General features: G+C 38.9%; 1 protein-coding gene across 9 annotated transcripts in view; it reads left to right on the top strand.

The window, feature by feature from the left end:
- Positions 1 to 12,206, top strand: part of NSRP1 (nuclear speckle splicing regulatory protein 1) — a 69,660-nt gene extending 57,454 nt beyond the window's left edge. For all 9 annotated transcript variants that reach the window (XM_047436916.1, XM_047436918.1, XM_011525345.3 and 6 more), the window contains 4 exons: positions 3,802 to 3,930; positions 4,821 to 5,028; positions 6,639 to 6,747; positions 10,346 to 12,206. In XM_047436916.1, the coding sequence (XP_047292872.1) occupies positions 3,802 to 3,930; positions 4,821 to 5,028; positions 6,639 to 6,747; positions 10,346 to 11,405 (1,506 nt within the window). In that variant the 3' untranslated portion in view covers positions 11,406 to 12,206. The remainder of the gene's footprint in view (positions 1 to 3,801; positions 3,931 to 4,820; positions 5,029 to 6,638; positions 6,748 to 10,345) is intronic.
- Positions 12,207 to 16,883: the final 4,677 nt, after the last annotated feature.

A 16,883-nucleotide genomic window follows, 5' to 3' on the forward strand; every position in this document is an offset into this window, starting at 1 on the left:
AGGAATGCTGCTACAACTCTTACACCTTTCACCTGCTTTCTGCTGATTTTTTCTCGCACCTATATTACATACTTTTCCCTTTGTTCCCCACTTGATTGATTCAGCTCATCGAATGTCTTTATCCATACGAATTGAAATTATTTTTCATTTTACTATGAAGAATACTAGCTTGATTGCATTTACTAAATCTTAGAGAAAATGCTTTTTAAAATGGGGTACTTTAAACTATTTTTTTCTTCTATGTGGACCTCAAGTTTACAGAACTGATGATGGCAACATTATTGTCATATTCCGTTTCATTGGGAAAACTTTCAGTATGTCATCAGTAAATAAAACATTTGCTGTAGGTCTCTGATAGATATTTGTTGCTAATCTAAGGAAATTATTTTCTTAGTTGGAGGGTTTTGTTGTTTGTTTATTTGTTTAAATGGTGAACTACATACAAAAAGGATACTGCTTCATGACCATGTTGGTTTTATACCAATAATGTAAAGTCAGCTTAACTTTAGAAAATCAATCATTGTAACTTCACATAAGTGGTATAAACTTAACATAAGCATAAAATGTTATCATTTTCATATATTGTTGCATTTGGCTTACTAAAGCTTCATTAAGAGTTTTTAAGTATTGAAGATTTTTGCATCATAAGTGAGACTGGGCAGAATAGGATGGTTTCCTTTTCTTTCGCTGCAATTATCTAGATTGAAAAAGTCTGATAATACCAAGGTTTGGCGAGCCTTATACAATGAGCTAATATGATACTATATACATTTTGTTTGTTTCTACTTCATTTTCTGTCCTGACAGATCAGTGTGTTCTTCATTCTGTTTTCTTTGGGTTTATTTTGTTATTTTTCTAACTTTTTGAGATTGCTGCATAGCTCTGTTTTCTGTTCTCTTTTCTAATATATGCATTTAAGGCTATATGTTTCCCTCTAAGTACTTCTGTAGCTGTATCTTACAGATTTTGATAGGCAGTATTTTTGTTGTTTCATGCAAAACATTTTCTGATTTGCATTATGATTTCTTGTTTGACCCATCTATTATTAATTTCTGAACATAACGGAGGTTTTTGATTACCTTTTTGTTATTCATTCCTAATGTGATTACTTTGGTTTTTTGCTTGTTTGTTTTTTGGGGTTTTTTGTTTTGTTTTGTTTTGTTTTGTTTTTGTTTTTGTTTTTGAGATGGAGTCTTGCTCTGTACCTAGGCTGGAGTGCAGCGGCACGATCTCAGCTCACTGCAACCTCCACCTCCTGGATTCAAGCGATTTTTCTGCCTTAGCCTCCTGATAGCTGGGATTTCAGGTGTGCATCACCACACCTGGCTAATTTTTATATTTTTAGATGGCCAGGCGCTCTCTTCACCTCAGGAGATCCGCCCGTCTTCGCCCCCCAAAGTGTTGGGATTACAGGCATGAGTTGCCACACCCAGTCCCTAACATGATTATTTTGGATTCCAAGACACTGCACTGTATTGTTTCATTCCTTTAAAACCTGTAGAGGTTTACTTTATGGTCCAGTATATAGTCAGTTTTTATAAATATTTCCTCTGTGTTTGAAAATGTTCTGTATTGATACAAAAATTAGCCGGGCATGGTGGTGTGCACCTGTAGTCCCAGCTACTCAGGAGGCTGAGGCAGGAGAGTCACTTGAACACAGGAGGTGGAGGTTGCAGTGAGCCAAGATGGTGCCACTGCACTCCAGGCTAGGCAACAGAGCAAGACTCCGAACCCCCCCCCCAAAAAAAAAGAAAAAAGAAAATGTTCTCTATGTGTCCATTGGGCCAGTTGTGTTAATCCATATATATTCATACTGTTTTTTTTTGTTGTTGTTGTTGTTTTGTTTTGTTTTGTTTTGTTTTGTCTGTTCTGTTACTGAGAGGCATATGTTAAATCTCCCACTGTGATTATGGATTTGTCTATTTTTCCTTGAATATCTGTTCAATTTTTGCTTTATTTATGTTGCAACATAGTTAATAGTAACATATCTACTCAAGTGCTCCCCTACAGCTCTCCTCCCAACATATACAAAGGCATGTCATCAGTTTAAAACAGCCCTGGCCGGGTGCAGTGGCTCATGCATGTAATCCCTGTACTTTGGAAGGCCAAGGTGGGTAGATCACGAGGTCAGGAGTTCGAGAACAGCTTGACCAACATAGTGAAACTCCGTCTCTACTAAAAATACAAAAAATTAGCCAGGCATGGTAGCAGGTGCCTGTAATCCTAGCTACTCAGGAGGCTGAGGCAGGGGAATCGCTTGAACCCAGGAGGCGGAGGTTGCAGCGAGCCAAGATCCTACCACTGCACACCAGCCAGGACAACAGTGCAAGACTTCGTCCCCCCCCCCCCAAAAAAAAAACAGCCCTCAGTCTCCCTTTTTCCTTGCTTTTTGTTATTGTAGTGGTGATTATTTCTTAGATTCCATGTTTCCCTCTTTGTGTTATCCAGGCTGGTTTTGGGGAGTGAGCAGGAGTGCCAATTCAACATCTAGGCAGGAGAATCTTTCACTTTCTAAAGGTTGAGAAGTGAAAAAAATGAATTTCTTAATATTTTAAACAATATTCTAGAAAAAAAGTTTTTCAGTTAGCATGTGCATTATTCAGAGTTTAAATGTTGGTATGTAAAAACCCTAGTCTATCAGATAGATTCTTTTGAATAATTATATCATCCTATCACTTAAAAAGGATCCCTCTTGGGTTCTACATTAGCCAATCTAGCAATTGAGGAAAAAATCAAAGTGTGTAGACTCTGTACCTCAGGAATTTACAACCGGGGGCAAAAGGCTAAGATTTGTAAAACAGGAAGTAAAAACGCCCATGCCTGGCATGGTGGCTCACGCATGTAATTCCAGCACTTTGGGGGGCGCTGAGGTGGGTGGATCATTTGAGCCCAGGAGTTCAAGACCAGCCTGAGCAACATGGTGAAACTCTGTCTCTACAAAACATATAAAAATTAGCCAGGCATGGTGGCACACGCCTGTAGTCCCAGCTACTTGGGTGGCTGAAGTGAGAGGATCACTTGAAGCCTGGGAGGCAGAGGTTGCAGTGAGCCAAGATCACACCACTGGCACTCCAGCCAGTGCGACAGAGCGAGACCCCATCGCTTTAAAAAAAAAAAAAATCTAGTGTAAATATTGCAGAATAGAATGTTCCTCAGAGTTTAGAAGAAAGATCATTGGGGGTTAGAGGCCTCAGAAATGGGCTCATAGAAGAAGTAGGGCTGGCCCTGAAACACTGGGTAAGATTTTGATCGCTTGAAAGAGGAGAAAAAAACATCATTTGAGATGGAAGGAACATGATAAAGGCAGAGACTTTATGTTTAACAACTCTAAAAATGATAATGAAAGTTTAATATATAATACAGGCCTCTCAAAACCAAGGTTAGGTGTTTCCATCGTACCTTTTGACCTTTTGATGGGTATAATTATATACAAATGAATAAATGATAATAATAGTTGATGTTTATTGAATACTTATTCTCTATCAGGCTCTGTTTTAAGTTTAGTCATTTAATTATAACAGCTTAGAATGTAAATATAGTCATTATTCTTTCTCTTCTAGATGAGGAAATTAAGGTACCAAAAGATTACAAACAAACTTGCCCGGAGTAATTAGTAAGTGTAGAGCCAGCATTCATACCCAGGCAGCCTGGCTCCAGAGTTTATTTGTATTTCCTATCTAAAAATGTGATTGTAATTTTTATGATATATTTTCAATTTATGAACCATTCTCAAAAAGCATAGACTTTGTTGTATCTATTGGCTGGCTCATATTTTTGAAACATGTTTAATTTTTTTTTAAGACCAAACTGGAAATCCAGAAGGCCCTTGCAGAAGATGCTACTGTGTATGAATATGACAGTATTTATGATGAAATGCAGAAAAAAAAGGAGGAAAATAATCCCAAATTGCTTTTGGGGAAAGACAGAAAGGTTTGTAAGCTGAAATAACAAACTTTCTTTGACCTTGACCTACATTTTGTGTCTTAATCTTATTTTAACATGAGAATGATCTGAGAAAAAGCTTTTAGGTATGTGAGGTGTGAAGAGTCCCTAATTCCAGATATTACAAATTTGATTGTAGAACTCAAGCAGCACTACATATTATCCTAATAGGCCAGGTGAATTATCTAACAATTTTGCTTTTTGCTTTGAAACCTTTGCAAATAGTTTTTTGAAAACTTTTCCTTGGAATTCTAATGTACCAAATTTGTACTGTTCCTGCCCTGTGTATGTTTATTTGTGTTTTATTACCCTCTCATTTTTTCATTTCTTCCTAGCTGGTAACTGAATCATCTGCCTGCACCTATCATGATTTTATTTTCAGTGAGAAAAAAATTTGGGAGGGGTAAAAACTGAAATAAGTTCAGATTTTCTTTCTATCAACTCTTGTTCTTTCACAAGCACAGGCTGATTTTTAAGGGCATTTGCATCTGACAGTTATCTACTAGTAGAGTGATGGTATAAAATTATATTAAGCTACTATTTTAAATAGTCATATTTCTACTAAATGTGAAAAACTAGCAGGAACTTTTCTGATTTTTTTTTAATTAAGATAATACCAGAAAAAAGAAAAAAATTATATTTAGTTTGATGTTTTATTAAAGTTAAATCGCATTATAAACAATTTCTATCTCTGCTACACCTAAATTTTTATGGAAAACAGTTTCAATATTAATCTTGCTAGTAAGTTTATATTGAATGTAGGGAAGACAATCTTATTTGGGCCAATCATTTCTATCTTAATGAATTCATTATAAAAATTATAATATTAACAATTACTATTTTTTTACTCTTTTCCTAAATCTTTTTTATTTCCTTAGCCCAAGTATATTCACAACTTGCTAAAAGCAGTTGAGATCAGAAAAAAGGAACAGGAAAAAAGAATGGAAAAGAAAATACAGAGAGAACGAGAAATGGAAAAGGGGGAGTTTGATGATAAAGAAGCATTTGTGACATCTGCATATAAGAAAAAACTGCAAGAGAGAGCTGAAGAAGAAGAAAGAGAAAAGAGGGCTGCTGCACTGGAAGGTAAAATGAAAGAGTGGGAAAGGCACAAGGAAACAGTAGCAGAATCTCTCCCCTGTGGTTAGCTGTTTGCTCTGTCACTGAACTTTAGGGTTATGAGTTTGTGATCATAATTTATATATAGGAATTCAAGACACAAGGAATATGGTATTATATAGCAGTATAAAACAGAAAGGAAAGTTTAACTAAAAACACAGTTGAACTCTTCAGTAACTATTATTTCTACTAGACTTTTCTCTTAGTTCTCATTTTGTGGCTTTTGCCTTAGAACATGATCTGAAATGTAAAAACATTTATTACAAAGTATAACGCCATGGCATTTGTCAGAAACAATATAAATATAATTTTAAACCCTAGTTACATTTTTTTGGGATGAGAAAATAATAGAGTAACACCACTCAAGGAGGATCAATGAGGCAATTAGAAAAAGAATAACATTAATTGAAGAAAGAATAAAAATTGGATGAATTAAGAATATCTTAATGCTTTACCTTAGTGCTTTCTACTCATGATTATTTCTCAAGATCTAAGTAGAATATGTATTTATAAAATACTTTTTTTTTTGAGACTGGGTCTCTGTCACCCAGGCTGGAGTGCAGTGGCTCAACCATGGCTCACTGCAGCCCTGACCTCCCAGGCTCCAGTGATCCTCCCACCTCAGCCTCTTGAGTAGCTGGGACTACGGGAACATACCACCACGTCTGGTTACTTTTTGTATTTTTTGTAGAGACGGGGTCTCACTATGTTGCCGGGGCTGGTCTCGAACTCCTGGGCTCAAGCAATCTTCCTGCCTCAGCCTCCCAAAGTGTTGGCATTACAGGTGTGAGCCACCATGACCAGCCCTGTAAATACTTTAATTGACAAATGCTCATCAGCTTTTTGGACAGAGTCTCGCTGTGTCGCCCAGGCTGGAGTGCAGTCGTATGATCTTGGCTCACTGCAACCTCTGCCTCCCAAGTTCAAGTGATTCTTATGCCTCAGGCTCCCAAGTAGCTGGGATTACAGGCATGCACCACCACACCTGGATAATTTTTATATTTTTATAGAGACGGAGTTTTACCATGTTGGCCAGGTTGGTCTCGAACTCCTGAGCTCAGGTGATCCACCCACCTCAGCCTCCCAAAGTTGTAGGATTACAGGCGTGAGCCACTGCGCCCATCCTCTTCAGCTTTTAAGTAGAAGAAAACCAAGTCTATAACATTCTGTCTAAGCATGTACTATGTGTTTAGAGTGCCAGTCGGCAAACTTTCTGTAAAGGACCAGATAGTATTTTAGTATTCATATTTTAAGACTTTAAATTTATAAATTCATATTTTGAATGCCAGATCATATTCATACTTTAGGGCTTTTTGTGTATATGATCTCTGTCGCAGTTACTGAGCTCTGCCTTTGTAGTACAAAAGCAGTTGTGGACAATACATAAATGAACAGGGCTTTGTTTCAATAAAAATTTATTTATGAAAACAGGCAACAGGCCAGATTTGGCCTGCAGTTTGCCAACTCCTGATCCAGCGAGTAGTTTACACACTGTATGTTATATACTGTATGTCTGTAAAATGAAACTGCACTGTGCCTTATTGAATATATTCTAATTTTTGCTTTCCCTCTGTTAGCATGTTTGGATGTAACCAAGCAGAAAGATCTCAGTGGATTTTATAGGCACCTATTAAATCAAGCAGTTGGTGAAGAGGAAGTACCTAAATGCAGCTTTCGTGAAGCCAGGTGAGGAGACGTGTATGAAATATTTTGAAGAAAAATACTGTTAATAATCTGTGGTTGTGGGGTCATTTTAACCCTCTGAAAGATGGAAGATTACAACATTGCATATTGTGTTGTCAGCCAGCCTTACCTAACTGAATGAATGGCTAGAAATTTGCAGTTTCTTGATTTTAAAACCTACAGATTTAGTTTAAGATCATTTTTATTCTGCATTTCACAGAAATTGTTACATTAAAACAGTGATTGAGTTTAATATTATTGTAAAACCAAAGACAGACTTTTAATGTATAAAGTTTCTGAATTTTTAAGTGATTTATGGGTCTTAACAAGGGAGAGCAAAATCTTCAAGGGAAAGCAAAATCAAATTGTAGTTTTTTCTTTTTTCTTTTTTTTTTTTTTTTTTGAGGCAGAGTCTCACTCTGTCGCCTAGGGTGGATGGAGTACAGTGGTTCAATCATAGCTCACTGCAGCCTTTGCCTCATGGGCTCAAATGATCCTCCCAAGTAGCTGGGACTACAGGTGCAAGCCATCATGCCCAGCGAATTTTCTTTTTGTGTTTTTTGTTGTTGTTGTTGTGTGTGTGGTTTTTTTTTTTTGTTTTTTTTTTTTTTAGATGGAATGGAGTCTTGCTCTGTCACCCAGGCTGGAGTGCAATGGCGCGATCTCTGCTTACTGCAACCTCTGCCTCTCAAGTTCAAGGGATTCTCGTGCCTCAGCTTCCTGAGTAGCTGGGACTATAGGTGCATGCACTACGCCCGGCTAATCTTTGTATTTTTAGTAGAGATGGAGTTTCACCATGTTGGCCAGACTAGTCTCGAATTCCTGACCTCAGGTGATCCACCCGCCTCGGCCTCCCAAAGTACTGGGATTATATGCATGAGCCACCACGCCCAGCCTCTTTTTGTATTTTTGTTGTGGAGATGGGGCTTTATGTTGCCCAGGCTGGTCTTGAACTCCTGGGTTTGAGGGATCCCCCCTCTATCTCAGCCTCCCAAAGTGCTGGGATTACAGGTATGAGCCACTGCACCTGGCTGCTTTTTTTTTTTTTTTTTTTTTTTTAAATAAGAATGTGGGTATTCCTCATGATCCTTAAAATGATTGGTGCCTGGTACCTTAAAATGATTTTGCTGTCAGAATTAAGGAGAAAGTTGGAAAGAATTAGGTGTCTACAATATAAGTCTTATATACATGTTCAGATAGTGTATAAAAAGGAAAGTGGTTTGTTTTCATAAATAGAACCCAGCCTTCCTAAAATGTAAGACTTACATATCGGGGCTAGAACTGCACTGTTAGTATGTAGGCACTAGTCACGTGTAGCTACTTAAATTAATTTAAAGTAAATAAAGTAGGTTGGGCGCAGTGACTCACGCCTGTTATCCCAGCACTTTGGGAGGCTGAGGCAGGTGGATCATGAGATCAGGAGATGGAGACCATCCTGGCCAACATGGTGAAACCCTGTCTCTACTAAAAATACAAAAATTAGCTCGGCATTGTGGCACATGCCTGTAATCCCACCTCCTGGGGAGGTTGAGGCAGGAGAATTGCTTAAACTCGGGAGGCGGAGATTGCAGTGAGCTGAGATAGCGCCACTGCACTCCAACCTGGCGACAGAGCCAGACTCCATCTCAAAAAATAAAATGGCTGGGCACGGTGGCTCATGCCTATAATCCCAGCACTTTGGGAGGCCAAGGCGGGCGGATTGCGAGGTCAGGAGATTGAGACCATCCTGGCCAGCACGGTGAAATCCCGTCTCTACTAAAAATACAAAAAATTAGCCAGGCGTGGTGGCGGGCGCCTGTTGTCCCAGCTACTTGGGAGGCTGAGGCAGGAGAATGGCGTGAACACAGGAGGCGGAGGTTGCAGTGAGCTGAGATTGCGCCACTGCACTCCAGCTTGGGTGACAGTGCAAGACTCTGTCTCAAAAAATAATAATAATAAATAAATAATAAAATTAAGTAAATAAAATTTAAAGTTTTGATCACAGCGGCCACATTTCATATACTCAGTTGCCATATTTGGCTGGTGGTTGCCATACTGGGGACAGCTCACATATGAACATTACCATTTCTTGAGGCATTTCTATTAATGCTGGTCTAGAAGGTAAAGGATTAGAGGATTTTTGAATAAAGTTATAAGGTATTATAGGAATGGTGAGATGATTATGCCATAATTATGTAGCTGAAGGTAAAAGAGTCTGTCCTAAGCAAAAAAAAAAAAATTTTTTTTAACAGGAATGTTCTGGGTAGATCTGAGTCTGTGTTGCTAAGGAAGGGAAGAGGTAGGAGAATAGAATTAAGGTGAGGAGAGGAAGTTTATGCCCCACTCCCTCCCTACGCTGCTAGGCTTTGATTATAAAATTGGTGAGAAGTATGAACCTAAGAAAATGTATTTGAAGATTCAGGTTTTGAATGGAAATTATATTACGTTATATCTTTGTATTAGAGTTTCATCTGGAATATTTATTAGGCTGCCATGAAACTCTGTAATGTCGTTGACATAGTTGTACTTCTTAGAGTCTAATAATCGAATTCCTAACTGTTAGTGGGTCCTTTAGCCAAGATAGTTCTGCCAGTAATTCCTGGAGAACCAAAGTTGTTGCACCATTAGTGTGATTAGTAAGTGATTAGTAAGAATCACTGAGTGGTTCTTATTTACATTATACTCATACTATAAAGTTAACTGTACTTGCCAGCTGGAACAATGAAGGTAATATAATTTTAGTATTGTTGATTCTAATGGACAAATTAATATATTTCCATTTTGTTGTGATAGGTGCCAAGGAGTGAATCAGGATACACTCATGAGAGAGAGTAAATATTTAGGATTATATTTGCCACTATTTTGCTGTGCAAAGATTATCTTCATGTATTTCTAGGACTATTTTTATAATTTTTTAAAAAGAAAAAGGCCAAGCATGGTGGCTCACACCTGTAATCCCCGCACTTTGGGAGGCCAGGGTGGTTGGATCACCTGAGGTCAAGAGTTTGAGACCAGCTTGGCCAACATGGCAAAACCCTGTCTCTACTAAAAATACAAAAATTAGCTGGGCATGGTGGTGCAGGCCTGTAATCCCAACTACTCGGGAAGCTAAGGTGAGAGGATCACTTGAGCCTGGGAGGCAGAGGTTGCAGTGAACCGAGATTGTGCCACTGCACTCCAGCCTGGGTAACAGAATGTCTCAAAATAAATAAATAAGAAAGGAAACAACAAATCCAACAGTCACAACTTAAGCTTCATGTTGTGAAAATAGAACTTAGATTCAGAACATTTATTACTTTTCCCAATTATTCTTTGTCTTAGGCTTACCAAAAAATGAAGACCTGTACAGACCCTTGCCTGTAGGTTCTAGTAGTATAGTAGACAAGGGCTAATTTTCTCTTTTCACTTCTACAAATATTGAAAATATTCTGAATGGTATGAATTTGAAAATACTAGTTTGCATAGACATCAGGACCTTTTTGCATTTGGATAATCAGACAGTATATATCACTATAGGTGTATTGATTTGAGTATTGATAAAAATTATATGAACCCTTCATTTGCTTATTACAACTGATAATGTGGCATTTTTTTCTGCCCTTTTTTGTTTTTTGTTTCTAAGATCTGGTATAAAGGAAGAAAAATCAAGGGGCTTCTCCAATGAAGTAAGTTCAAAAAACAGAATACCACAAGAGAAATGCATTCTTCAAACTGATGTGAAAGTAGAGGAAAACCCAGATGCAGACAGTGACTTCGATGCTAAGAGCAGTGCGGATGATGAAATAGAAGAAACTAGAGTGAACTGCAGAAGGGAAAAGGTCATAGAGACCCCTGAGAATGACTTCAAGCACCACAGGAGTCAAAACCACTCTCGGTCACCTAGTGAAGAAAGAGGGCACAGTACCAGGCACCACACGAAAGGATCACGAACGTCGAGAGGACATGAGAAAAGGGAAGATCAGCACCAGCAGAAGCAATCCAGAGACCAAGAGAACCATTACACTGACCGTGATTACCGGAAAGAAAGGGATTCTCATAGGCACAGAGAGGCCAGTCATAGAGATTCCCATTGGAAGAGGCATGAACAGGAAGATAAACCAAGGGCGAGGGACCAAAGAGAAAGAAGTGACAGAGTATGGAAAAGGGAGAAAGATAGGGAGAAATATTCCCAAAGAGAACAAGAAAGAGATAGACAACAAAATGATCAGAACCGACCCAGTGAGAAAGGAGAGAAGGAAGAGAAAAGCAAAGCAAAGGAAGAGCATATGAAAGTAAGGAAGGAAAGATATGAAAATAATGATAAATACAGAGATAGAGAAAAACGAGAGGTAGGTGTTCAGTCTTCAGAAAGAAATCAAGACAGAAAGGAAAGCAGCCCAAATTCTAGGGCAAAGGATAAATTTCTTGACCAAGAAAGATCCAACAAAATGAGAAACATGGCAAAGGACAAAGAAAGAAACCAAGAGAAACCCTCTAATTCTGAATCATCACTGGGAGCAAAACACAGACTCACAGAGGAAGGGCAAGAGAAGGGTAAAGAACAAGAGAGACCACCTGAGGCAGTGAGCAAGTTTGCAAAGCGGAACAATGAAGAAACTGTAATGTCAGCTAGAGACAGGTACTTGGCCAGGCAGATGGCGCGGGTTAATGCAAAGACCTATATTGAGAAAGAAGATGATTGATGGCTACCCCAAGAGAAAGATTTAAGGAAGCACAGAAAACTGTAATTCCTGGAACCTGCTGCGTAAAACCATAAAGGAGTGTGTTACCAGTAGTTTGGAGGGCATTTTTAAATTTATTTTCAAAATTTTAAGTTAAAAGTCAGTCTTACAGCTTGGATGTTTGGATGTGGATGTTTGGCTGAATTTATATATAGTGTGTACTCATCAATACCACATTCTTTGTTGTATTCAAGAACCGTTAAGAGTGTGCTAATTCCCTGTAGGTACATAATGAGGAAAATTTGCTCCACTACAACCATTAAAAAATAATTTTGGCCAGATACGGTAGCTCGTGCCTGTAATACCAACATTTTGGGAGGCCAAGGCAGAAGGATATTGAGGCTAGGCATTCAAGACCAGCCTAGGCAGGATAATAAGACCTTGTCTCTATTTAAAAAACAAAAAGCCTAGCATGGTAGTCCATGCCTGTAGTCCCAGCTGTTCGAGAGGCTGAGGCAAGAAGATCACTTGAGCCTAGGAATTTGATGTTACAGTGAGGTATGATCATGCCACTGCACTCCAACCTGGGCAACAGAATGAGACCCTGTCTCTAAAAAATTTTTTTTAAATAAATAATTTAACTCTTCTAATAATGTTTTGTTGCAGGAAATGTATTTCAGATAAAATATGGATTTGAAAAACAGAAAATATACTTTATGTTCTGAAATTTGTATTTAAGTATAAAATGTGAATCATCTTGTCTAAATAGCTTACAGCATAGTTGGCTTAAATGAAAATAAAATGATATGCTTATACATTTTATTTATGCATTTATTTTAAAATAATTTTACTCATGTCACAATTCATCTTTTCGCTTTTAGTAGAAATTAATTTGTAATTCTGAAACCTTGACAAGTTAGTAAATTGGTTATATATGTAAATCACTTTTAGTTAAAGGTGAAGCTGTGGAGACATTAGCCTAAATGAAATTAGCTAAAGATCTAGGTGGCCTGTTTCTAAACATGTCTTGTTTCACCTACTCTGAAAAAGATAGTGCAGTTTATTACAAGTTCCACTTGTGTATAAAAATAAAACTAGTATCTTTCTTCTGAGTCTTTGAAACTCAGGAGAAATAATTATACACTGTAAATATTTTATTTATGGGGAAAGATGAATGCTGTGGAGAAAATAGTTCTCTACTAGGTCTTCCCATTAAGAAAATGCTGTTCATATATCTCACAATACTCTACCTAAAGAGCACACTTTCTTATTTTTAGAAGGATAAACTTGGTTTAATAAGAATGCTGACTAGATGAAATATATTAAGGGTCAGATTTAGAATTTATAAATCATTTTATTGTACCTTTAAAACCAGAAAGGAAAAGTCACAGGAAAGTTAACGCCCAAATCTCTGACTGATAGATTAAATGTCAGTTACATCCTAATACTCTAAAGTCAATCAGTGACAGTGACAAACCCCCAAAATCACTGACTTGGTGTACAAAAAGGGAGCAACATAACATCAGTATGGAAAGGTAAAAGGGTGACATCATGGAAGGACCATGAGTGACAGAAAAAATCTTTAACTTTGGTGGGGAGTATGGTTTCTTTCTTGGGATTGTTTTATAACTAGAGCCATGCATTGGGAAGATTAATTTGATCGTAGTGTGCAAGGTAGTCTAGGAGGAGAGACTGATGTCAGAGACATCTGATGATAAACTCAGTTTCCCTCTCCCAGAGGGAAAAGCTCAGAGACTTTTACAAAGCCGCTTGGATCCTTAGATAGGAAAGCTATAAATTACTTTTATTAACCAACTTAATTTGACATAAATCAGGATGAGAGACTGCAAATGAAGAGTTTTCTTCTGTCTCCTCCAAATATACAGAATGTTGGTTTTGCCTCTCTGGTATTCATTCCCCCTTTTCCTGGTAACAGCAGGATTTGCCTTTGAGAAAACACACCTTTACTACTCTTAGTCCACGGGTTCAAATGGGGCAGAATAGCCTACAGTAAGGGTATGTGACTCAAGCTAGGCTGATGCTGGTCATGTTGTCAGAATTTACAGAAAGATGTTTTCTGTTGTCATTGCTGATTATGGCGATGAGGTAAGTCTGGAGTTTCATGGAGAGTGCCTTGCTGCCTGGCAGAAAAAAAACCCACAACAAGAAAGCCAGACAGAGAGAAGAACAAAAAACCTGATGATTGCTTTTGCATCTCTGGCTCTAGTGTAGCTTTTTTTTTTTTTTTTTTTTTTTTTTTTTAAGACATTTAAACCAATACTTTTCCCTTTTTCTGTTAGGTTAGTTTGAATTGGATTTCTGCTGTCACAACCCAAAAAGTCCTATTTGATACAAGGTTCCATTCATGATAGCTCTGTGCCAAAAGTTACCAGAACACTCTTAGTAAATTTTTTTGTTGTAGTATAAGGTTTAAATTGCACATGGAGTTTACAGCTTAATGGATTCACACAGTACACCTAGTTTAAAAAGACATTACCTGTGCCATAGGAGCTCCCCTTAAACTTCTCTCCCAGCCTACTCTTTCTGATTTTTAGCACCTTAGAGTAGTTTTGCTTGTTTTGTAGATTCTTTACTACTACATTCTGTTGATGGACATTGGTTATTTCTTTTTGGGGTTATGAATAATAATATCTTCTAGGTAATGTATCTTCTAGGTACATTCTTGCGCTTGTCATCTAGTACATACATGTATGTTTTGGTTGGGTAATTCTGAGGAATGGAATTGCTGATTCATAGGGTATGCTCATGTTGAGCTTTAGTAGTTAACTACCAATTAGTTTTCCAGAATATTTGAACTAAAAGGCACTCCCTCCATCAATGTATGAGAGTTCCAGTTGCCCCACATCTTGCTCACCCTTGGTATTTGTCTTCTGGCTTTTTGTCTTTTAGCTACTCTGGTAGGTGTTGTGGTATCTCATGGTTTTATTTTGTGGTTCCCTGATGGCTCTCACATCTTTATTAACATTTAACATTTGGGTATCTTGGCGGGGGTTGGTATTTGTTTTTGAGACAGGGTCTTTCTCTGTCACCCAGGCTAGAGTGCAGTGATGCAATCATGGCTCACTGCAGCCTTGACCTCCCAGGGTGAAGTGATCCTCCCACCTCAGCCTCCCAAATAGCTAGGACTGTAGCTGCATGCCACCACGCCTGGCTAATTTTTTGTAGAGACGGGGTTTTACTATGTTGTCTAGGCTGGTCTCAAACTCCTAGGCTCAAGCAATTTCGCCTGCCTCAGCTTTCAAAGTGCTGAGATTACAGGCATTAACTACCTTTCCACTCCCTGCTTTTTTTTTTTTTTTTTTTTTTGAGGGGGGTGTGGAGGGGAACTATCTGCCTTTTCCTTAATCCAGTACAGGTTTTGTTTTGTTTTGTTTTGTTTTGTTTTTGAGATGGAGTTTCGCTCTTGCTACCCAGGCTGGAGTGCAATGGCATGATCTCGGCTCACAGCAACTTACACCTCCCAGGTTCAAGCGATTCTCCTGCCTCAGCCTCCCGAGTAGCTGGGATTACAGGCGCCTGCCACCACGCCTGGCTAATTTTGTATTTTTAGTAGAGATGGGGTTTGTCCATGTTAGTCAGGCTGGTCTCGAACTCCCGACCTCAGGTGATCTGCCCGCCTCGGCCTCCCAAAGTGCTGGGATTACAGGCATGAGCCACCTTGCCTGGCCCCAGTACAGGTTCTTCAGATATTCTAGGTACGAGTTATTTGTAAGGAACTTCTCCCTCCCCTCTATGGCTTTACCTTTTCACTCTTAATGGTATTTTTAATGAACAGATATCTCTAATTTTACAAAGTTAATTAAAATTAATAAAATTTAAAATACAGTTCCTCAGTTGCATTAGACATTTCGAATGCTCAACATGTGGCTGGTGGCTGCCACATAGGACAGTGCAGGTTTATAGAACATTTCTACTGCAGAAAGTTATACTGGACAACATTTTCTAGAAGCATTATTGCCTACATTTCCCATTTAGATCTACAGTGCACTTGGAATTAATTTTTGTTTGTGGTGTAAGATAGGGGTTAAGATTTTTCTCCATATGGATATCAAATAGACTCAGCAGCGAGTGACTATTTGTTCAGATTAAAACCACAGTGAATACCATTACTCATTCACAAGGATGACAAAATGTTAAGAGACATAATACGAAGTGTTGATGAGGATGCGAAGCAACGGTATTTTTTTTTTTTTTTTTTTTTTTTTTTTTTTTGAGATGGAGTCTCGCTCTGACGCCCAGGCTGGGGTGCAGTGGCGCGATCTCAGCTCACTGCAAGCTCCGCTTCCCGGGTTCACGCCATTCTCCTGCCTCGGCCTTCCAAGTAGCTGGGACTACAGGCGCCTGCCACCACGCCCAGCTAATTTTTTCTATTTTTAGTAGAGACGGCGTTTCACCTTGTTGGCCAGGATGGTTTCGATCTCCTGACCTCGTGATCTGCCCTCTTCAGCCTCCCAAAGTGCTGGGATTATAGGTGTGAGCCACCATGCCTGGCTCTCTTTTTTTTTAGGATAGTCTTGTTCTGTCGCCCAGGCTAGAGTGCAGTGATGCAATTTCAGCTCACTGCAACCTTTGCCTCCCGGATTCAAGCAGTTCTCCTGCCTTAGCCTCCCGAGTAGCTGGGGTTACGGACGTACACCACCCCGCCCGGCTAATTTTTGTATTTTTAGTAGAAACAGGGTTTTGCCATGTTGGCCAGGCTGATCTTGAACTGGCCTCATATGATCTGCCTGCCTTAACCTCCCAAAGTGCTGGGATTACAGGCGTCAGCCACTGCATCCAGCAGCAATAGTAATTTTTGTGTGCTACTAGTAATAGGTGAACTGGCACAACCTTTTTGGGAAAAGTTTGGCTTTACCTAGTAATTGACACTGCATGTTTCCTGTAACTCGTGTTCCACAGATGCACCAGGAATATCTATAATACATTTTCAATAAATGACAACCTAAATCTCTATCAGTAGTAAAGAATATATAGCTAGGCGTGGTAGCTCACGCCTGTAATCCTAGCACTTTGGGAGGCCAAGGTGGGCAGATTGCCTGAGCTCAGGAGTTCGAGACCAGCCTGGCCAACATGGCGAAACCCTGTCTCTACTAAAAATACAAGAAATAGAAATTAGCCAGGCATGGTGGTGCGTGCCTGTAATCCCAGCTACTAGGAGGCTGAGGCATGAGAATCACTTGAACCCAGGAGGCGGAGGTTGCAGTGAGCTGAGATCACGCCATTGCACTCCAGCCTGGGCGACAGAGCAAGACTGTCAAAATATATATATATATATATTCACACACACACACATAGGCAATACAACAGTTAAATGAATACACTAGAGCTATACCCAACTTGGATGAATTTCAGTCTTGTGAGAAGAAGTAATATATATATATAGGGGAAAAAAGGCAAAACTATATTAAAAATACATGGGTAGGTGGTAAAAGGGGTTATAAATATGGAAAGGAAGAAAATTAGAATGAACTTTGTAGT

This window comes from Homo sapiens, chromosome 17, assembly GCF_000001405.40.
Source record: "Homo sapiens chromosome 17, GRCh38.p14 Primary Assembly".
Taxonomy (NCBI): Eukaryota; Metazoa; Chordata; class Mammalia; order Primates; family Hominidae; genus Homo; species Homo sapiens.